Source organism: Homo sapiens, chromosome 5, assembly GCF_000001405.40.
Source record: "Homo sapiens chromosome 5, GRCh38.p14 Primary Assembly".
Classification (NCBI taxonomy): Eukaryota; Metazoa; Chordata; class Mammalia; order Primates; family Hominidae; genus Homo; species Homo sapiens.
Window position 1 is genome coordinate 42,766,328 of NC_000005.10, and position 22,548 is coordinate 42,788,875.

General features: G+C 34.4%; 1 protein-coding gene across 2 annotated transcripts in view; it reads left to right on the forward strand.

Moving 5' to 3' along the window:
- Nucleotides 1–22,548, forward strand: part of CCDC152 (coiled-coil domain containing 152) — a 45,622-nt gene that overhangs the window by 9,510 nt on the left and 13,564 nt on the right. For both annotated transcript variants that reach the window (NM_001134848.2, XM_047416584.1), the window contains exons 4-6: nt 3,270–3,338; nt 13,131–13,195; nt 17,147–17,249. In NM_001134848.2, coding sequence (NP_001128320.1) covers nt 3,270–3,338; nt 13,131–13,195; nt 17,147–17,249 — 237 coding nt within the window. The remainder of the gene's footprint in view (nt 1–3,269; nt 3,339–13,130; nt 13,196–17,146; nt 17,250–22,548) is intronic.

Genomic DNA, 22,548 nt, shown 5'->3' on the forward strand with positions numbered 1-22,548 from the left:
AGTACAATCACTATGAAGAACAGCCTGGAGGCTCTTTGAAAAAATGAAAATAGAGCTACCATAGGACCCAGCAATCCCACTGCTGGGTATATACACAGAAGAAAGGAAATCAGTATGTTAAAGAGAGATCTGCACTCTTTGTTGCAGCACTGATTACAATAGCCAAGATTTGGAAGAAACCTAAGTGTTCATCAACAGATGAATGAATAAAGAAAATGTGGTACTTATACACAATGTAGTATTATTCAACCATAAAAATGAATGAGATCCTGCCATTTGCAACAACATAGATGGAAGTGGAGATCATTATGTTAAGTGAAATAAGCCAGGCACAGAAAGACAAACATCATATGTTCTCATTTATGGGATCTAAAAGTCAAAACAATTAAACTCATGGACATAGAGAGTAGAAGGATGGTTACCAGAGGCTGGGAAGGGTAGTGGGGGGCTGGAAGGGAGGTGGGGTTGGTTAATGAGTATAAAAAAATAGAAAGAATGAATAAGACCTACTATTCGTTAGCACAGTAAGGTGACTACAGTCAATAATAACTTAATTGTACATTTTAAAGTAACTTAAAGAGTGTAACTGGATTGTTTATAACTCAGTTGATAAATGCTTGAGGGGATAGATACGCCATTCTCCATGATGTGCTTATTTCACATTGCATGCCTTTATCAAAACATCTCATGTACCCCATAAATATATACACCTACTATGTAACCACAAAAATTATTTTTAAGAAATACAATTTTATTTGTTCTAAATCTAATGTCCTTTCTGCTGGATAGTACTTAGCAAAAAGCATAAGTTGTCATAAGAATGACAACTTATGGAGCCAAGTGTGTAATAATTCACTTAGGAAGGAGGGGCAAACTACACATGATCAAATTTATTCAACAACAAAGAATGATATATGGACATTTTATTTTCTGCATTTGATGCCAGACAGATAAATAATTTATTTGCCAGTTAAAGATAGTAATAATATTAGTATTGAGAATCAAGTACTGCAGGAAACTCTTTACATGTATAATTGCTTTTAATATTTGCAACTATTGTATGAAATACATATTAATATTCATATTTTTGGTTAATCTTAGAGCCCACATTTGAGCTCAAAATGATTATTGATTTACTAAATTATACAGTATAAGAAATAGCTTAATATTCTGACCTCTGGTTTTTAGGAAGAATTTAATAGGCCAGCATTTTCAACTTACACAGTAAAGTCCAACAACAACAACAACAACAAACAGTGTGGATTAAATTTTGCAAAGAGAATTAAAAGCCATTGTTCAAAATTAGTGAATGGTATTCTCGTGAAGAATTTATCTATGCTCCATTGTAGAAAAATGTGGTGAGAGAGCCACCTTGTGTTTAAGTTTTGAAAATACACATTTTTGAAACATTCAGTTGCAGGGTTCTGTTCTCAATTTACGGATTACTGAAGTAACTTCAGCTACTATATTCTATGAATCACTGGATTCATTATTCTAAAAGGCACAAAGACAAGTGATGGCAGAGTCTGTCTATGCCTCTTTAATTTTTGAATTCTATCAGTTAGCACAGTGACACTCATGAAGCAGATTCTCAGCTAATTTCTGTCAAATGTAATTTAACCGTTATTCTCTTACTGGGAAATAGCAGGATAGAGAAAATGGAGGATGAGGGGAACTTTGAGTAGATGGTGGGGATGGTAGGGAGAGCAGGGAGGAGTGAAGAGCCACAATAGCACCTTATAGCATCACAAAGCTTTAAACTTCTGCAAAATACTCTCATTTCTATCAGCATAGTTGAAAAAGTACATGAGACTGAGTGCAGAATCTCTAATTAAAAGGTGAAAAGTTTTGAATTCTCCCTTCACAGTATTGGTTCTTTCATTCAGTCGACAAAACATATGTTATTTTCATACCAGAGATTCCCTACTTACCCCTTATCTGCTTCAGCTTACTGTGATATTACCTATCAACCCAATAATCACTGAACAAATATTTGTGGATTGCCTACTATGGACCACAAGTGTCCTAAACAGTAGGAATCAATAGTAAGCAAAACAAAACAGTCTCTGCTGTTGTAGCCCTAATAGCCAAGTGGATTTCTAAAGTAATGAAATTACCACTACTATTGCTGTCCATCTTGGCTGTTGCTGGTGGCTACCAATATTATAGTCAAGGCTTGAATGCGCATGTCAAGGCTCTAATATTTGCAATGAAACTTCTATCTTCTATTATGTCAGCAGCCATTGGCAGCACAGTTGCTGAAGCCTTGGAACACTACTTACTGAGTTTTTACTCCTTTTATTGCTAATCTCTTGGTCTAAGACTCAAGCCTAAGTACTAAGAGGATAGACTGGAAGATAGAGTAAGAAAAGCATTGTCTTATACCACACAATTGTACCACACATTGTCTTATACCAAAACAATATAATTTGACTCCCTTTCCTTAGGATGTTCTTTCCTGGAAGATTTGCATGGACATACTTCTTATAGTTCCCCAGATATATGCAGGTGTGCCTTACTACTTAGGGCAGAGATTGCTTAGGCACATGGTAGGACCCATACTATTCTGTGCTTTAGGAAAGTCATTACCAAGTTTTGAAATTCATTTGGCTTAATGAGTGAGTTAAAAGTAAAGGCTCACACCTATAGTCCCAGCATTTTAGGAGACCAAGGGGGGTGGATCACCTGAGGCAGGTGGATTACTTGAGGTCAGGAGTTCGAGACCGCATGGCCAACATGGTGAAACGCCGTCTCTACAAAAATATACAAAAACTAGCCAGACATGGTGACGCGTGCCTGTGATCCCAGCTGCTCAGGAGGCTGAGGCAGGAGAATTACTTGAGCCTGGGAGGCGGAGGTTGCGTGAGCCGACATCGTGCCACTGCACTTCAGCCTGGACGACAGGGCAAGACTCTGTCTCAAAAAAAAAAAAAATTATATTTTTCCTTTATATAATTTTATTTAAGGTGCTTGGCTGCTTTATTAATATCTTGTAATTTCAAATTAAATATTATTATTATTATTTTTAGAGACAGGGTCTTGCTCTGTCACTCAGGCTGGAGTGCAATGGCATGAGCATAGCCCCCTGCAGCCTTGAACTCTTGGGTTCAAGTGATCCTCCTGCCTCAGCCTCTTGAGTCAATAGGACTACAAGGCACACATCACCATGCCTGGCTTAAATATTATTTTATTTTAATAATTTCAACTGAGAGAATAATTCCAAAATGAAAGCAAGGGATTTTAAAATAAATTTATCTTTTATATTTCAGAATGTGCTACTCTTCATAATATAATAAAAGGGCTACAACAGACCATTGAATATCAACAGAATTTGAAAGGTAAGTTAGAAAAAAAAGTAAAATCTAAAAAAGCATTGTGTATTTGAGCACCTTTAAAAATAGGAAGTTTTTACATGGTTGATAATAAATTTCAATTTGTCAGCTAAAAGAGGACTCCTTACTACTTAAAAATACTTTCCTAGATGATTATGAAATAAGAAATGTTATCCTGAACAGAACAATTCAGTCATGTTCTATCTGATAGTGACATAAAGGGATGTTTTACATAGGTCATATAGTTATTACCTTCAAAAATTTAGAACTCTATTTATTCTCAGTAGCATTCTTGGTCTTTAATAATCTTGTGTTCAGTTTTGAAGAGTGGATATTACTAGTTAAACCATAATTTTTTATTTAAACCACAGTGATAGTTTACCATTTAATTTTTTTGTCATAGACTAAGACTATATTTGTGCAAGTGAAGTCAACACATTCAGCTTATCTTATCTGTAACAATCATGTTAATCAAACAGGCCTACCATTCACAAAACAGACCAAGTATTTTGTGCTGTTCTGACTCAGCTGTGATGGCTGTGAGATTTTCTTCTACTATATCAGAGATTAGACTAAATTGCCTTAAAGGCCCCTTCCACATAAAACTCACATCAAATAAGCATTTCTCATCTTAGACCTCTGCCTTTATTTTAAAACAAGCACCTTATATATGTGAGATAAAATATTGATCTTATATGTGATTCCTGTAATTTGGAGTGTTAAAAAGGGGCACTCATGCTCCTATTTCAATGCCAGGGCTCAAAACAACTTTTCCCTTCCTTGTGACTAAAATACCACACCCAGCTGGGTTCTCTATTCTGTTCCATAATCTACATGTCTTTTTTTTTTTAACAGTGCTGTACTGTTCTGATTATTGTAGCTCTATAATATATTTTGAAATTAGGTAGTGCAGTGGCTCCAGGTTTGTTCTTTTTACTCAAGATTGCTTGGGCTATTTGAGGTCTTTTGTGTTTCCATATGGATTTTAAGATTGTTTTGTCTACTTCTGTAAAGAATGTCATTGGCATTTTGATAGCGATTGCATTAAATATGCAGATCATTTTAGATAGTATGGACATTTTAATAATATTCTTCTAATCTATTTATCTGTGTCTTCTTTCATTTCCTTCATCAATGTTTTATTACTTTCAGTGTACAAGATTCTCACCTTCTTTGGTGTACAAGATTCTCACCTTCTTTGGTTAATTCTTAAGTATTTTTATTGCCATTATGTATAGGATTGTTTCTTAATTTCCTTTCCAGATATTTTGTAATTTGTATATAGAAATGTGATCGATTTTTATATGTTGATTTTGTATACTGCAACTTTACTGAATCTGTTTATTAGTTCTAATAGGTTTTCTAAGTATATAGTCATGTCATCTGCGAATATGGATAATTTTCTTCTGTTCTGATTTGGATGCCCTTTATGTCTTTCTCTTTCCTAATTGCTCTAAGATTTCCAACACTATGTTGAAAAGAAGAGGCAAAAATGCTAAACACACTCCTGAACAATCATTGAGTCAAAGAATAAACCAAAGGAATTTTTAAAGTATCTGAGACAAATGAAAACACAACATACCAAAACCTATAGGATACAGCAGAAGACATTTTAATGGGGAAGTTTATGGCTGTAAAGCCTAAATTTAAAAGGAAAAAATATATATATATCCAATAAGTAATCTATCTTTACACCTCAAGGAACTAGAAAAAGAACAACAAATTAAGCCCAAAGGTACTCAAAGGAAAGAAATAATGAAGATTATAGGATAAATCAATCAAATAGAAAATAAAAAACAACAGAAAATTTAACAAAACTAGGAGTTTGTTTTTTTTGAAAAAATAAACTAAATTGACAAATGCTTGGCTACACTGAAAAAAAAAGAAAGATGTCAATATATAAAAGCAGAAATGAAAGAGAAGACGATACAACTGAAATCCTAGGGGGCGTGAGGAGGATAATAAGGGACTATTAAGAGCAACTATATGCCACCAAACTGGATAACCTAGAAGAAATAGTCAAATACCTAAGAATATACAACCTGCCAAAACTGAGTCAGAAATAGTCGGAACACACCAATGACAAATAAGGAGATTGAGTAAATAATCAAAAATCTCCCACCAAAGAAAAGCCCAGGATGAGGTGGCTTCATGGGAATTCTATTAAACACTCAAAGAAAAAGTAATACCGCTTTTTCTTAAACTCTTTCAAAAAATAAAAGCAAAGGGAACACTTCCAAACTCATCCTATGAGGCCAGCATCACCCGGACACCAAAATCAGACAAAGACACTGCAAGGAAAGAAAATTACATCCCAATATCCCTGATAAACACAGACTCAAAAATCTTCAATAAAATACTATCAAATAAAATTCAACAGCCCATTAAAAAGATCATATATCCTAACCAAGTGGGATTTATCCCTGGGATGCAAGTATGGTTCTGTATACACAGATCAATCAATGTGATACACCATGTGTTTTCTATTTATTATCAAAATGAATAGAAAAAAACACATGAACACCTCAATAGATACAGAAAAAACATTTGACAAAATTCAACATCCACTCATGATTAAAACTCTCATGAAATAGGCATAGATAGAGAAGATAATAGGCATGGAAGGATCTTGCCTTAACACAATAAAGGCCATAGATGAAAAGCTCACAGCTAACATCATAATCAATGGGAGAAAACAGAAAACTTTCTCTTTAAGATCCAGTACAAGGCAAGTACAAGTTTTAAAATAGCCTTTCTTGGCCGGGCGCTGTGGCTCACGCCTGTAATCCATATCCTGGCCAACATGGTGAAACCCCGCCTCTACTAAAAAAAAATACAAAAATTTGCTGGGCGTGGTGGCACATGCCTGTAATCCCAGCTACTCGAGAGGCTAAGGCAGGAAAATCACTTGAACCAGGGAGTTGGAGGTTGCAGTGAGCCGAGATCGCACCGCTGCACTCCAGCCTGGCTGCAGAACGAGACTCCGTCTCAAAAAAAAAAAAAAAAATAGCCATTCTTAAAAATGAATATTGTATGATGTCTCTTGCAAATAAATGATGACTCATTGAGTTCACTTTCCCAATGCTTTTACAAGCCTTGATTGAGCAAGGTAATAGATAAGAACTATCTATATTTGACCATTTTCATCCAATTGATTGCCAAGATAGTATGATTAATCTGCTTATTTAAGCTACCCAGTGGTTTCCTTTCCAATAGCTCTTTTCTCTCCTTAACAGGAAACGGTTTTTCTTTTTCAGACATTCACCCTTCATTCACTTAACCATATGCCTCAGGGGAAGCTGATCGCATCCAAGCTCCAAGGGAGTTCTTTTGGAATAATTTTCCTCTCTCCCAAGAGATGGACTATGTTCTTCTGGTTGTTATAAGACTGTATATAATGCCTAAAATTGTTTCAGATTTCTTGTTTCTAGTCTAAAAATCATGCCAGCAGGATGATTTTGGAGGATAGCAAGAAAAGTAAACTAAAAGGATCTGGTTTTTTGGTAACATTATTGAGCTGATTAATCAATTACCCTTTGGGTTTAAGAGACTTTTCAGTTACAATGAGAGAAATGCTACCTTCCTTTAGTCTTATCAATGAATCTTTTCAGTAGGGACTTATGGATTATGTAAAAGATAATTCAATGAGATGTAGAAAAAAATTGCAATTCTTATTTATCTTTATTTTCATCTGAAAATTCAAAGCCAGTCATCTTACAAAAATTTAATAACTGGGATAATATTCCTTTTTCTATCTATAAGTTAATTATATGTCACGCATGATACACAAGGTTCTTTCTCTGAGGAGAATGGGAGTTCTAAAACTGAACAATTGCATGTTTACTTTTTCCCCTAGTTTCAGTGTATGGCCATGTAGTACAGTTTATATGTTTCTGGATAAGAGGATTGATAGATAAAATTAGCTAGTTCTAATCAAACTAATCCTTTCAAAATGGACAAGTAGTTTTAAAAAATAAAACATATATTGAGGACAATAATAATTACAATAATGCAAGCACAAGCCAACAATAAGAAAGTATCAGAGCTGTCACTTCTCCTACCCCCATACAAGCTCTTTATCAGGCATATTAAGTTAAAAAGTAGTGAAAGTCTGTTAGACTTGAAAAAATGTCAGCCAACAGTGGCCAATTAACTGATTTTGGAAAATTAATTTATGGAAAAACCATTGTATCTTTAGAAATGGTTCCACCATTAAGCAACTTCAGGGCTGAAAATGTGTCCCTTTTAAGTATTCTCACTTGCACATAAAACTTGGAAATAGAATTCTAACTTTAATGAAAATCCTTCAAACGTACCTCATCTTTCTGGTAAAACATATAAGGATCTCAGAAGTTGTCACGCCCTGCTAACAACAAGTAAAACATTGAGCAAACTGAAAAATCAACAATTCTTAGACTTTTGATCAGAGAACTGAGGTCGCAGGACAAACTGATGCATCTAAAATTGGAGACAGGGAGGCAGACTCAGAGAATCACAACTTAACAAGAGCAGAAACCTCCCTGTTTGTCAGGCTAGGAAACCCTAAAATGTAATTTTGATGAATTGCAGATGGCTCATTGTAGTCAAATCTAAGAGATTAAAAATTTCAGGGGACCCAATCCCATAGGAGAGCCCCTATAGTTTTGTAAGTTTTACCTGTGAGAGCTCTACTAAGATCTCACAGTTAAGATATGAGAAAAATTCCCTCATGTTGTTGGCTGGAGGAGAAGAAAAGTAACCATTTTGAAATAATCCACAGCTTCTGTTCTTAACAAAGCCTGACTTGAAAGAAGCTATTTTATCTGAGCCTAAACTACTGGGGTTTTAGCCGAGGATAAGCTGCCTTAGGGGAGGAAAATATCCTATTTCAGCTCCCCCTAGCCTTCCCAACTCTAGCCCATTCTAGCCATCCCATCTCACCAAAGGGGAGAGGGACTAAGAAGCATGTGGGTAACTCACAGTCCAAAGACACAGGCTTACTGAAAGACTGAGACCTAATCATAGGACTATAGAATACTTCTCCTTCTGCAACACCTTAGGCGTTTTTACTGGTACTTGGTCTTGAGCTTTGTACAAAAAATTACAAGGCACACTAAAAGAAAAAAAATAGGCAGTTTGAAGAGACAGAGAAAGCATCAAAACCAGACACAGAAATGGCAGGGATATTGGAATTATTAGACCAGAAATTTTAAAAAACTACAGTTAATATGCTAAAGGCTCTAAACAGTGTAACACAAATGAAGAATGCCTTTGTTGGACTCATTAGTAGACTAGACATAGCCTAATGAAAATAATTTCTCAGTTTCAGGAAAGATTCTCTGAGCTTGAGAATATGTCAATAGAAACTTCCGAAACTGAAATTTCAGAAAAAAAAAAAAGACTAGGAAAAAAGTAACAAAATATTCAAAAACAGTGTAATAACTACGAAAGCTGTAACAAACACTTAATGGGAATATCAGAAGAAAAATAAAGAAAGAAAGGAACAGAAGAAACATCAGAAGCAATAATGACTGAGAATTTCCCCTAATTAATATCAGATACCAAACCACAGATCCAGGAAGCTCAGTGAACACCAAGCAGGGTAAATGCTCAAAAAACTACCCATAGGCATGTCATATTCAAACTGTAGAAAATAAAAAACAAAGAAAAAATTTTGAAACAAGTGAGGAAAATTATTTACCTATAGAGGACCAAAGATAGGAATTATACCCAGCTTCTTCTCAGGAACCATGCAAACAGTAAAGGAGTAGAGTGAAATATTTTAAAGTGCTGAGAGAGATAGAATAAAACACCAACCAATAATTCTGCATCCTGCAAAATTATTGTCCAGAAAGTAGAAATAAAGACTTTCTTAGACAAAAATTGAGGGTATTTGTTGCAAGTATACCAGCCTTGCAGGAAATGATGAAAGAGGAGAGAAGCAAAATGATATAGGCCAGAAACTTGGATCTACATAGAAAGGAAGAACATTAGAGAAGGAATAAGTGAAGGTAAAATAAAAACTTTTATTTTTCTTATTCTCAATTGATCTAACAGGTAACAATTTATTCAAAATTATAGCAACAATGTATTATTAAGTAATTATAGCTTATGCATAAGTGAAATGCATGACATCAATGACATAAGGAATGAGAGGAAGGAATTATGAATACTTTAGTATAAAGTACTTGTACTACCTGAGAAGCGGTATAATGGATTTGAAAGTGGACCTGAATTCATTGTAAATGTATATTGCAAATTCTAGGACAATCACTAAAAAAAAAAAAAAACTAAAATTAGAAGTATAATGGATTTGCTAAGAAAGAAGAGAAAATGGAATCACGTGAAATACTCAAAACCATAAAAGGCAGAAAAAGAATAGAAGACAAAAATAGGATCAAAGAACAAGGTCTATGAATAGAAAAGAGTAACAAATACGGTAGATATTAATCCAACTTTATCAAAAATCACTTTGAAAATCAATAGCCTAATACAGTTTACAAGACAGAGATTATCAGAGCGGATCAAAAAACATTACCCAACTATATCTTTCTACAAAAAAAGTCTACTTTAAATATAAAGGCACATATAGATTAAAAGCTAAGGGCTGGAGAAAGATATGCCGTGCTAACACTAAGAACACTGGAGTAGCTATCTTCATTTCAAACAGCAGATTTTTAGAGCATGAAAAATTATCCAGGATAAAAAGGGGTATTACATAATGATAAAAGGGTTAATTCTCCAAGAAGACATAAAATTGTTTTATTTATGCATCTAGCAAAGGCATCAAAAATATGTGAGTCAAAGATTTATAGAACTGCAAGGAGAAATAGATGAGTCCACTATTGTAGTTGAAGATTTCAACATTCTTCTATCAGAAAATCAGTAAGGACACAGTTGAAATCAACAATAACATCAATCAATTGACTATAATGGACATCTATAGACTATTTCATCCAACAACAGCAGAATACACATTCTCCTCAAACTTAATGAATACTCACCAAGATAGATCCCATTGTGGTTTATAAAACACACCTTAGCAAATTTGAAAGACCAGAAGTCATACAATGTCTGCTGTCAGGCCACAATGGAATTAAAGTAGACATCAAAAACAGAAAGGTAGATGAAAAATCTCAAAATATATGCAGATTAAAGAACACTTTTAAATAATACAGTGGTCAAAAAACAAATATCAACAGAAAATTTAAAATATTTTGAACTAAATAAAAATACAATTTATTAAAATTTGTGAAATGCTGCAAAAACCACAGTGCTTAAAGAGATATTTATAGCGTTAAATGTGCATATGAGAAGACAACAAAAAACTAAAATTAATTTAAGCTTCCACTTTAGGAAATAAGAAAAAGGAGAACAAATTAAATCCAAAATAAGTAAAAAAAAGAAATAACAAAAATAAAGCAGAAATTAATAAAATTGAAAACAAGAAATCAATAGAGAGCAATGAAACTAAAAGCTGTTTTTTTGAAAAGATCAATAAAATTGACAAGTCTGTAGCCAGATGAACTAAGGAAATAGGAGAGATTACTCAAGTTAATAATATCAGAAATGAAAGAAAGGACATCACTACAAATGTCATGTTCATTAAGAGGATAATAAAGGAGACCAGCCTGGCCAACATGGTGAAACCCCATCTCTACCAAAAATACAAAAATTAGCCGGGCATGGTGGTGTGTGCCTGTAATCCCAGCTACTCGGGGGCCGAGGCAGGAAAATAGCTTGAACCCAGGAGGGGGAGGTTGCAGGGAGCTAAGATCGCGCCATCGCACTCCAGCCTGGGGGACAAGAGCAAGACTTCATCTCAATATAAAAAAAAAAAAGAAGAAGAAGAAGATAATAAAGGAATACTCTGAACAACTCTGTGCTCAACTCAAATATTTGATAGCCTATGTGAAATGGACTAATTTCTTGAAAGACACAATCTGACAAACTGAAACCATCATCAGAATTAAGATTTGTATTAAATATGACCCTTAAAAGTGTAACACTTTTCCTATCGGTTTCTCATCACAACCTTTGAAAACTAATAGATTTTAGATCTTTACTTAATTTTAATACTTTGATATAATGCCTCTGCAAGTTTTATATGTGGACCCTATTTCCAAGGCTCCTTTCAATGTTACTGTACTACAGAACAAACCTTCCTAAAGCATTGTTCAGATAATGTCAAAAATCTTTACTGATTTGTCATTGTTTTGTTTAGCTAATTCTTAGTTTTGTTTATAGTCAAGGTTTTAATTTTAATACTGTGGTTTAATACCTCTGCAATAGTTTCATAAGTGGACTCTATTTCCAAGGCTCCTCTCAACTTTACTATACCACAAAACAAACCTTCCTAAAAGCATTATTCAGATAATGTCAAAAATCTTTACTGATTTGTTGTTTTGTTTAACTACTTCTTGGTTGTGTTTATAGTTAAGGTTGTAGAGGGGAAATTGTAATAGGATGTCTATTGAGGCTTTTCCTGTTTACCAGGAATTAGTGACTAGGGCACATGCCACAATTAACAACAAAATAGCTACATATTTCCATATTCTAGTGACATCTGCTAAAAAGTCGCCAAATGTTGGAGTGAGTCCAGACTGCATATATTTGCTACAACCACCTAAAGGACTGGAACCTCGAAGTTAAATAGAGAATTTTTTACCTCTCCTCATTTCCTGTCTCCACCCCCCAAGAGATGACCCAGAGGAAAGACAGGGAAGAGCAACTAAGGAGGAAACTAAGACTTCTTTCCCACTTCTATTGACTCTTTACAGCCACTGATCTAGCCAGTGATAAGGATCATGAAAACTTTCAATCAAATAGGAAATTACAGTTTTAAACCGACCTGGATGTTTAGTAATCAAAATTAACCACAGGGTTTTTAAAATTTGTTAAAAATATTAAGGTATTGTTTTCAGTTACCCAAACCAAAAACCTAAAAAGAAAAGGCTCCCCCTTTCTCTTTTGCCTCCTCTATCTAAAGGGTCACTAAATTCCTAGGTAATTCTATCATCTAAATAATAATTCTCCTCATTGCTTCCTTTTTTCCATACTGCCGCTGACGTAATTTAGGTTCCTGTTATCTCTTACTTGACCTATAGTTACTGATCTCCATTCCTCTAGGGTCAAAACCCTCTCATTCATCATCCACATTGCCAGATAATCGTTTTAGCATGTAACTCTCATTATTTCACTTCTGCACTATTCAAAATTCTTTGATGACTCCCTGTAACCTCTAAAACCAAAATCCAAAATTGTTCATCTAGAATATGTAGAATATGTCTACCTAGTGATAGGATCCCAACCTATATAGCATCTCCTGCTCACACTTTACACTTCAACAATACCGTACGTGAATTGTAGTTTTTCCAAGCTATATTCACTCAAGCCCATGGTCTTCTGTGCGATTTTCTGCATTTAGAATGCTCTCTCTTAACATGGGGTAAGCCTATCACTTAAATCTCGTCTCAAGTAGCTTCTCTTCTCTAAATCCTTTCCTGACTTCAAGCTGCCCTAGGTTTTCTTTTTACAGGTTCCTGTAGTATTTCAGATATACTGCCATTAAAGAGCAATTATCATAGCATATTATAACTACTAACACATTTGACTCAGCACTAGGCTGTAAGTTCTTTGAAGAGCAGTAACTCTTTTCACTTTCATATTCTCAGTGTCTAGCATGGTGCCTGAAGTGTAGCAGCTGCTGGATGCATGTTTGTTGAATGCATACATAATGGAAGCTAAAATGTTGAACATATTTTCATATTAATTGAAAAGTGCTATATATTATGATGTTCTTTGATTATTCTTACACAGGTGAAAATGAACAACTAAAAATAAGTGCTGATCTTATAAAAGAGAAGTTAAAGTCTCATGAACAGGTGAGTTTATGTATCATTCTATTCAGTCAAGTCCCTGTGGAGATTTATCTTTTCAAATTAGGAAAAAAAAAGAGGTTTTTAAATTAATAAACACAGCCAAATGTTTGTGGGTGTGTGTGTGTGTGGAGATATACGTATATATGCCAAAATCTTTAGTAAATGACAATTTGTTTTCAAAGCAATACTAGTTTTAAGAGTTTTTTTTTTTTACAAAATATAATGTACTAACAAATAACTTGCATTACTTTTTCTTTCTACCAAAAAGAGATGCAGTTATTTTGCTACATAATTTTCAATTATGTTAATAGAGGTTTTACTCTAGTAAACTCTATTTGTTACTACTTGTGAACTTTCTTATTATAATGTAAATGAATCTATACTCTTTATGATTTGGGTAATCATTACACCATTCCAATACAGGGGGCATTTCATGTGGATCACAAATTATTTCTCTCCCAGGAGCCACCATACCCTCTGCTACTTTTCCTTATCTCCTGTAGGAACAGTGTAGTGACAGCAGTTGTAGAACACATGAACAGCGTGTAAAAAGCATAAAAGATGCTAAATAAATGTCAGTTCCCTCTGCTCTTTGAGAGGTTCATTATGCTAACTTCCTCATCTCTCAAGAGCTAATATGTCAAATTCTAGCAGACAAAAGATCCTCAAAACTCAAGTTGAATCTATAGGAGCTTTCAACTTGAAGAATCTTCTCTAAATTCAGTCTGGTTCCTCATCTGAGGACCCTCTGAAGAAATCTGCCCAGAACTTCTGGTTAATCCTGTACAGTAATAAGTAGCATTCTGGCTATGCTCTTAGAAAATTTAGCTTTTCATCACCAATTTTGAGATGGTTTTTAAGTATTTCTGAAATGAATCCTACCCTTTCTCCCCCTTTCTTTTCCTTTTTCCCTTTATTCTTTCCCAATCCTTTTAATATATTGACTCTAGATCTCAAAAATAGATGGTAAAGTCAGGTTGTAATTGGGGTGGGGAACCAGGGGGAGAAAATTTGACCTGCTTTCCTTTCTAAAACTTCAAGCACTAGGATACTGCTTTGTTGAGAATACTACAGGAATGTTCAGAGGGGAAGAAATTAAAGAGAAAACACCACAACCCAAGAGTCTGAATTTCTTACTTAGGGGCTGCCCAAAGCAAACTATGACAACGCAGATTTGCTAATTCAAAACCTCTGAACACATCTAAAATTCATGGAGAAAACTCCCCAGGAACAAACTCAGGAGGTACCCAATAGCAGTATTTGTGAGAGTAGAAGGATTTTGCAACTTGTATAGAGAGAATCATTGTTTTTTATATCAAGAGTGAAACTGGAGGCTATTCCTTGGAATTTAAAATTCCCAGAAAGCATATGAAAAGAAGACAACCAATTGTAACCTATTGGGGATTAGTCTCCTTAGAAAAATGAAAAGATTACATTTTTTAGGAATGGCACAGGCTAAAGTGGAAGAGAAGATCTAGTGGGATAGAACTTGGCTCAACCCAGATAGAATAGTCTTCATGCCTGGAGGCTGAAATGCAAATCCTGGGTCTCACCGAATTAACTGGCAGCATTCCACTTTCCTGGTGACATCTTCCTGTGGCAAAAATCAGTGGAGAATAGAAAGGTACATAGGTTTGTCTCTTGTGGTTTCTCAGAGCAGCAACAGCTTAGTGCACACAGTTGTCAGGAGTAGTTTATAAAAGCTGCTCTGTAGTTGCCCATCTAGAAATCTAGATATATAGAAAATGGCAATTTGTGGGATTGCCAGCTGGGTTCACCTGCCCAGTTTTAATTAGAACCGAGAAGTTGAATAGCTTTGTCCATTCCTACAAGTTGCCTGGCAGGATAAGTAGAACAAACAGGAATCCAGACAAAATCTCTTGAACTGAGATAATATGGAGGAATGTATGCCAATTTTTAATTGTGGGCATAGAAGCCAGTGTGTCTTGACCTGTTTTAAACTGTTTAACCTCCTCAGTACCATGAAATATCTATTAAAAGCTATGAATCCTCACTGAGAAAAATGCGCGCGCGCGCACACACACACACACACACACACACATACACACACACAAATAAATACATGTATAATTTTACCTTAAAATTTGGAAGTTGATCAAAAGCCTATTCACTGGCTCTAGGTTAACAGTTCTGACCTAAATAATTCTTATTGGCACTCCCATTCATTCAAGAAATATATATCAAGATATATGTGTGTGCACATATATACATGTATTTACACACAAGGAGTTGGGAACACAATGGTGAGTCCCAGCTGTTAGGTATTAGAGGCTTTTATTGACCTCTTGCCTTTATTATTGCCTTTTTATTACTATCATACTTAACTTTTATTCTTCCTGCTTTCCTTTTCTCTTGCCTACATTTTAGGCCTCTGAATAATTTCTTCATGTAGGACCATACCCCCGGTAAAGTTGTAAAATTTATCTTCACAATTGTAAAATAACTGTCTTCCATCACCACTCTCAATGCTCCTCTCCCTGTTCTTAGCATAATAAATCACCCCTATCCTTCAACAACCTAAGAAGCTAATCTCAGGCAGCTGTCAAGCACTTTGCAAATCCCAAACTCATCTTTCTCTCTATGCCTCCTCATAAAGCATACACTTACCATGGGTAATGCTTAATCTTGCTCTGGGAATTAGGAATATTTATATAATTTTTGGAAACAGAAGTTCAGCTTGCATTCAAAGAGACTCATCTTACATTATAGTAAGCTTGCTAGCTATTGAACAGTGCCTTTTGTTGGCTCTAATGTATAGTTTTGGCTTATATTGAACATACCTTAATTCTGTAGTGGCATTTATTCATAAAATTAAATATTTTGAGCATCCTTAATATTCTAAACCCTGGTAATGAGTATCCAGAAAGCAAAGATAAAAAAAGACATTGTTTCTGTAATATCTTTATCTTATCTCCTTGGATCAGAAATTGATCTTTCTTATGGAATTCATGAAGCAGAGAGTAGAGTGGTGGTTAGGCTGTGGTGGAGGCAGCAATTGGGGAGATGTTGGTGAAAGGATAAAAAATTTTAGTTGGAAAGGAGGAATAGAATCAGGAGAGCTATTGTACAATTTGGTGATTGTTATCAATAACGATGTATCATATACTTCAAAATTGCTAAGAGAGTAGTTTTTTAATGTTCTCACCACAAAAAAGTGATAAATATATGAGGCAAATGGATATACCTCACATATTTAACATATATTTAACATATCCATAATATAGATATGTTAATTGGCTTGAGTTTAGGCATTCCACAATGTATACATATATTAAAACATCATGTTGTACATCATAAATATATATAATTTTTAATTTTCAAATTAAAATTTAAATTTTTTTTTTGAGACAGAGTCTCGCTCTGTCCCCCAGGCTGGAGTGCAGTGGTGCCATCTCGGCTCACTGCAAGCTTCAGGGCCTCCCGGGTTCACGCCATTCTCCTGCCTCAGCCTCCCGAGTAGCTGGGACTACAGGTGCCCACCACCACGCCCAGCTAATTTTTTTGTATTTTTAGTAGAGATGGGGTTTCACCGTGTTAGCCAGGATGGTCTCGATCTCCTGACCTCGTGATCTGCCTGCCTTAGCCTCCCAAAGTGCTGGGATTACAAGCGTGAGCCACCACACCAGGCCAAAAATTTAAATTAAAAAATAAATACTTTATACATACAAAAAATAAAATAAAATGGGTCTATCTCAAAGCTGATTATTCAAACAATGAACAATATTTTTCCTTGTAGATATAACTTTTAATTATTAGAAAGGTGAAATTGTTCATTTATATTACATTTATAGTAACTTTTAAAAAAGTAACATAAATGGAGAATTTTTAAAGTATTTAAAAAGTAATATGAATGGAGAATTTCACCTTTCTAGGAATCAGAAGTTATATACACATATTTAAATTTTAAAAATTAATATATATTTTAATCTTTAGGAATATAAGAATAATATTGCCAAACTTGTAAGTGAAATGAAAATCAAAGAGGAGGGATATAAGAAAGAAATAAGCAAACTTTATCAGGACATGCAGAGAAAAGGTAAGTTTAAAATAAACTTGCTTTTTTGTTATTGATTCAACAGATATAATGTGTGGGTTTGTTACATGGGTATTTTGTATAATGCTGGTGTTTGGGCTTCTAGTGAACTCATCAATTATATAGTGAACATAACTCGTGGTAGATCATTTTTCAACCCTCACCCCTCCCACCCTCCCTTCTTTTGGAGTTCCCAGTGTCTATGGTTTCTATCTTTATGTCAATGACTACCCATTGTTTAGCTCCCACTTATAAGTGAGTACATGCAGTATTTGACTTTCTGTTTCTCAGTTAGTTCACTTAGAATGATGCCCTCCAGCTCCAACCATGTTGGCAAATAATTCAGTTTTATTCTCTTTTACAGCTGCGTAGTATTTCATGGTGTATATATACCACATTTTCTTTATCCAATCCATCATTGATGTGCACTTAGGTTAATTTCATGACTTGCTATTGTGAATAGAACTGTGATAAACATGCAAGTACAAGTGTCTTTTTGATAAAAACAATTTATTTTCCTTTGGGTAGATACCCAATAGTAGGATTACTGGGTTGAATAGTAATTTTATTTTTAGTTATTTGAGAAATCTTTGTAATGTTTTCCATAGGGGTGAAACTAATTTACATTCCCATTAACAGTGCATTATTGTTCCCTTTACTCCACATCCCTGACAACATCTGTTATTTTTTTGACTTTTTAGTAATACTCATTTTGACTATTAGTCATTTTGACTGGTTTGAGAAGGTATCTTATTGTGGTTTTAACTTGCATTTCTCTGATAATTAGTAATGTTGAACATTTTTTCATATGCTTGTCAGCTGTGTGTATGTCTTCTTTTGAGAAGTGTCTGTTCAAGTCCTCTTTGCCCACTTTGTAATGGGGTTGTTTTTGTCTTGTTGATTTGTTTAACTTCTTTGTAGATTCTGAATATTAGTCCTTTGGTGGATATACGGCTTGCAAATATTTTCTCCCATTCTGTAGGTTGTCTGTTTATGCTGTTGATTGTTTCTTTTGCTGTACAGAAACTCTTTAAATCCGATTTGTCTATTTTTGTTTTTGATGCATTTGCTTTTGAGGTCTTAGTCATAAATTCTTTGCCTAGGCCAATGTCCAGAAGAGTTTTTCCTATGTTTTCTTTTAGGATTTTTATAGTTTAAGGTCTTACACTTAAGTCTTTAATCAATCTTGAGTTAATTTTTGTGTATGGTAAGGGATGGAGGTCCAGTTTAATTCTTTTTCATATGGCTAACCAGTTTTCCCAGCACTGTTTGTTATAATAAATAGGGAATCTTTTCCTCATTGTTTATTTTTGTAGAATTTTTGAACATTAGTTTGTTGCAGGTGTGTGGCTTTATTTCTGGGTTCTTTATTCTGTTTTACAGATCTATGTTTCCATTTTTGTACTAGTACTATGCTGTTTTGGCTATTATAGCCTTGTAGAATAGTTTGAAGTAGGGTAACGTGATGCCTCCATCTTTGTTCTTTTGCTTAGAATTACTTTGACTATTCAGGCTCTGTTTTGGTTCCATATAAATTTTAAAGCTGCTTTTTCTAATTCTGTGAAAACTTACATTGTTAATTTGATAGAAATTGAATATGTAGATTGCTTTGGGTAGTATAGTCATTTTGATGATATTGATTCTTCCTATCCATGAGCATGGAATGCTTTTTCATTTGTTTGTGTCATCTATGATTTCTATTACCAAACTGTTTTGTTCTCCTTGTAGAGGTTTTTCATCTTCTTTGTTAAATGTATTTCCAGGTAATTTTGTGTGTGTATGGTAATTGTTAATGGGATTGAGTTCTTGATTTGGTTCTCAGCTTGAGTGTTGTTGGTTTATAAGAATGTCACTGATTTTGATGCATTCATTTTGTATCCTGAAATTTTACTGAAGTCATTTGTCAGGTCTAGGGGGAATCTTTAGGGTTTTCTAGGTGTAGAATCTTTTAGATGAATCTTTAGGGCTTTCTAGATGTAGAATCATATTATCAGCAAACAGGTAAAATTGGACTTCCCCTTTTCCAATTTGAATGGCTACTATTTATTTCTCTTTCCTGATTGCTCTAGCTACAGACTTTCAGTACTATGTTGAATAGGGGTGGTGACAATGGATATCCTTGTTTTGTTCCAGTTCTTAGGGGACATGCTTTCAACTTTTCCCCATTCAGGATGATGTTGGCTGTGAGTTTGTCATGTATGGCTCTTGTTATTTTGAGGTACGTTCCTTCAATGCCTATTTTTTAGGGTTTTTATTATAAAGGGTGTTGGATTTTACCAAATGCTTTTTCTGCATATACTGAAATGATAATATAGTTTTTGTTTTTGATTCTGTTTGTGTAGCGAATCACATTTATTGACTTGCATATATCGAACCATCCTTGCATCCCTGAAATAAGGCCGTTTGATCCTGATGAATTATCTTTTTGAGGTGTTACTGGATTCTGTTTTGTTGGGGATTTTTGAATCTATGTTTATCAGGGATATTGGCCTGTTGTTTTATTTTTTACTGGGTCCTTGCCAGATTTTGGTATCAGCATGATACTGGTTTCATAGCATGAGTTAGAGAGGCCTCCCTCCTCCTCAATTTTTTGGAATAGTTTCAGTAATATTGGTACCAACTCTTCTTTGTACATCTGGTAGAATTTGGCTGGCCTGTAAATACTCTAGTCCTGGGATTTTGTTGTTGTTGTTGTTGTTGGTATATTTTTTATTATTTATTCAATTTTATAACACATTAATGGCCCATTTAGAATTTCAGTTTCTTCCTGGTTCAATCTCTGGAGGTTGTATGTTTCCAGGAATTTTTCCATTTGCTCTAGATTTTCTAGTTTGTGCACATAGAAATGTTCATAGTAGTCACTGAAGATCTTTTGTATTTCTGTGGTATTAGTTGTAATGTCAACTTTATCATTTCTGATTGTGCTTATTTGGAAACTTCTGTTTCTCTCTGTTTTTCTTGGTTAATCTAGCAAGTGATCTATCACTTTTGTTTGTCCTTTCAAAAAACCCAGTTTTTGTCTCATTGATCCTTTGTATGGATTTTTGGAGTTTTGTTTTCATCTCATTTTCACTTAGTTCTTCTCTGATCTTTTGTTATTTCTTTTCTTCTGCTACCTTTGAGTTTGGTTTGTTCTTGTTTTTCTGGCTCATTTAGGTGCAACGTTGGGTTGTTAATGTTACATCTGTCTTCCTCAGGTAGGCATTTAGTGCTATAAACTTTTCTCCTAATACTACTTTTCTGTATCCTAGAGGTTTTGGTATGTTATGACTGCATTTTCTTTTGTTTCAAAATAAGTTTTCATTTCTGTTTTTTTTGTTGTTGTTTTTTACCTAAAAGTCAACCAGGAGCAAGTTGTTTGGTTTCTATGTATTTGTGTGGTTTTGCAAGTTCCTTTTGGTATGTATTTCTGATTTTATTCCATTATGGTCCACATATACGTTTGATATAATTTTATTTAAAAAATTATTGAGACTTGTTTTATGATCAGGCATATGGTCAATTTTAGACAATGTTCTATGCACAGATGAGAAAAAATGTATATTCTGCAGTTGTTGAGTGGAATGTTCTGTAGATGTCTATTAGGTTCATTTGGTCAAAAGTCCAATTAAAGTCCAGAGTTTCTTTATTATTTTTCAGCCTCCATGATCCAGTAGACTGGTCTCCAAGCTTTTAAATTATTCCTTCTGCTTGGTCTAGTCTGTTGCTAAAACTCTCAACTATATTTTAAAATTCCTTTAGTGAATTTTTTAATTCCAGAAGTTTTTGTTTTGTTTTGCTTTTTAAAATGTAGCTACCTCCTCTTTTATATCCTGAATCATTTTCTTGGTTTCTCTGTGTTGGTTTTCAACTTTCTCTTGATCTCTTTGAGTTGCCTTGCAATCCATATTTTGAATTCTTTATCTGTCAATGGGGCATTGACAACCCCACTACTATTGTACAGCTGTCTATCTATTTTCTTAGGTTTAATAATATTTGTTTTATAAATCTGGGTGTTCCAGTGTTGGGCACAGTTAAATCACTTGTTAAGTCTTTTTGTTGAATTGAAGACTTTATCATTATATAATAGTAGTTAGGTAATTATATAGTAGTTAGGTAATTGCTGAATTGAAGCCTTTATCATTATATAATGCCCTTCTTTGTCTTTTTTACTGTTGTTGGTTTAAAGTCTGTTTTAATTGATACAAGAATATCAACCCCTGTTCTTTTTCATTTTCTATTTGCATGGTAGATCTTTCGTCACCCCTTTACTTTGAACCTATGGTGTCATTACACATAGGATGGGTCTCTTGAAGTCAATAGATGGTTGAGTCTTGCTTTGTTAACCCAATTTGCCAATCTGTGTATTTTAAGTGGAACATTTAGGCTGTTTATGATTAATATTTATATGTGGCATTTTGTTCCCTTTAGAGTGTTGTTAGTGAGCTTTATAGTCTCAGTTGTTTGTTTTATAGGATCTGTGAACTTTGTACTTCTGCGTGCTTTTATGATAGCAAGTATTGTCCTTTTGTTTCCATGTTTAAAACTCCTTTGAGCATTTCTTGTAGGTCTGGTCTGGTGATGATGAATACCTTTAGCACTTACTTATTTGGAAAAAAACTTTATTTCTCCTTCCTTGTTTGGTGGATATAAAATTCTTGGATGGCATTTTTTTTTTTCTTTAAGAAAGCTAAAAAGAGGACCTCAGTTTCTTCTGGCTTGTAAGGCTTCTGTAAGAAGTCTGCCATATAATCATTAGACTATTTAAGGTCAATGCCAAAAAAAAAACAAAAAACCCTCAAAGGCAGCTAGAGAAAATAGCCAAATTACCTATAAATGAAATCCAATCAGGCTAACATAGTAGACTTCTTACAGAAGCCTTACAAACCAGAAGAGACTGAGGTCCTCTTTTTAGCCTTCTGAACTCAAACTCACAACCTCAGGTAAACTGCCTGCCTTGGCCTCCCAAAGTGCTGGGATTACAGGCATGAGCCACCGTGCCTGGTCCTTCATCTGTATGTCTCTGGGATAGTAACTGTCCAAATATTTTTGCCATTTGCTTGTTGAATTGTTTGACTTCTTCTTACTGAATTCTTAGTGTTCTTTATATATTTTTGGATATAAATCCTTTATCAAATATCCATCTGCAAGTCTATGGATTGTCTTTTCATTTTCTTAACAGTATTAAAGAATATAAATTAATAACTTTGATGAAGTCCAATTTATAACTTTTGCCTTTATTGTTTGTGCTTTTTGTTGCTTTCCAAGAAGTTGTGCCTACATGGTCCTGTAGCTTCCCATGGACCTGCAGGTTCCCCGTACT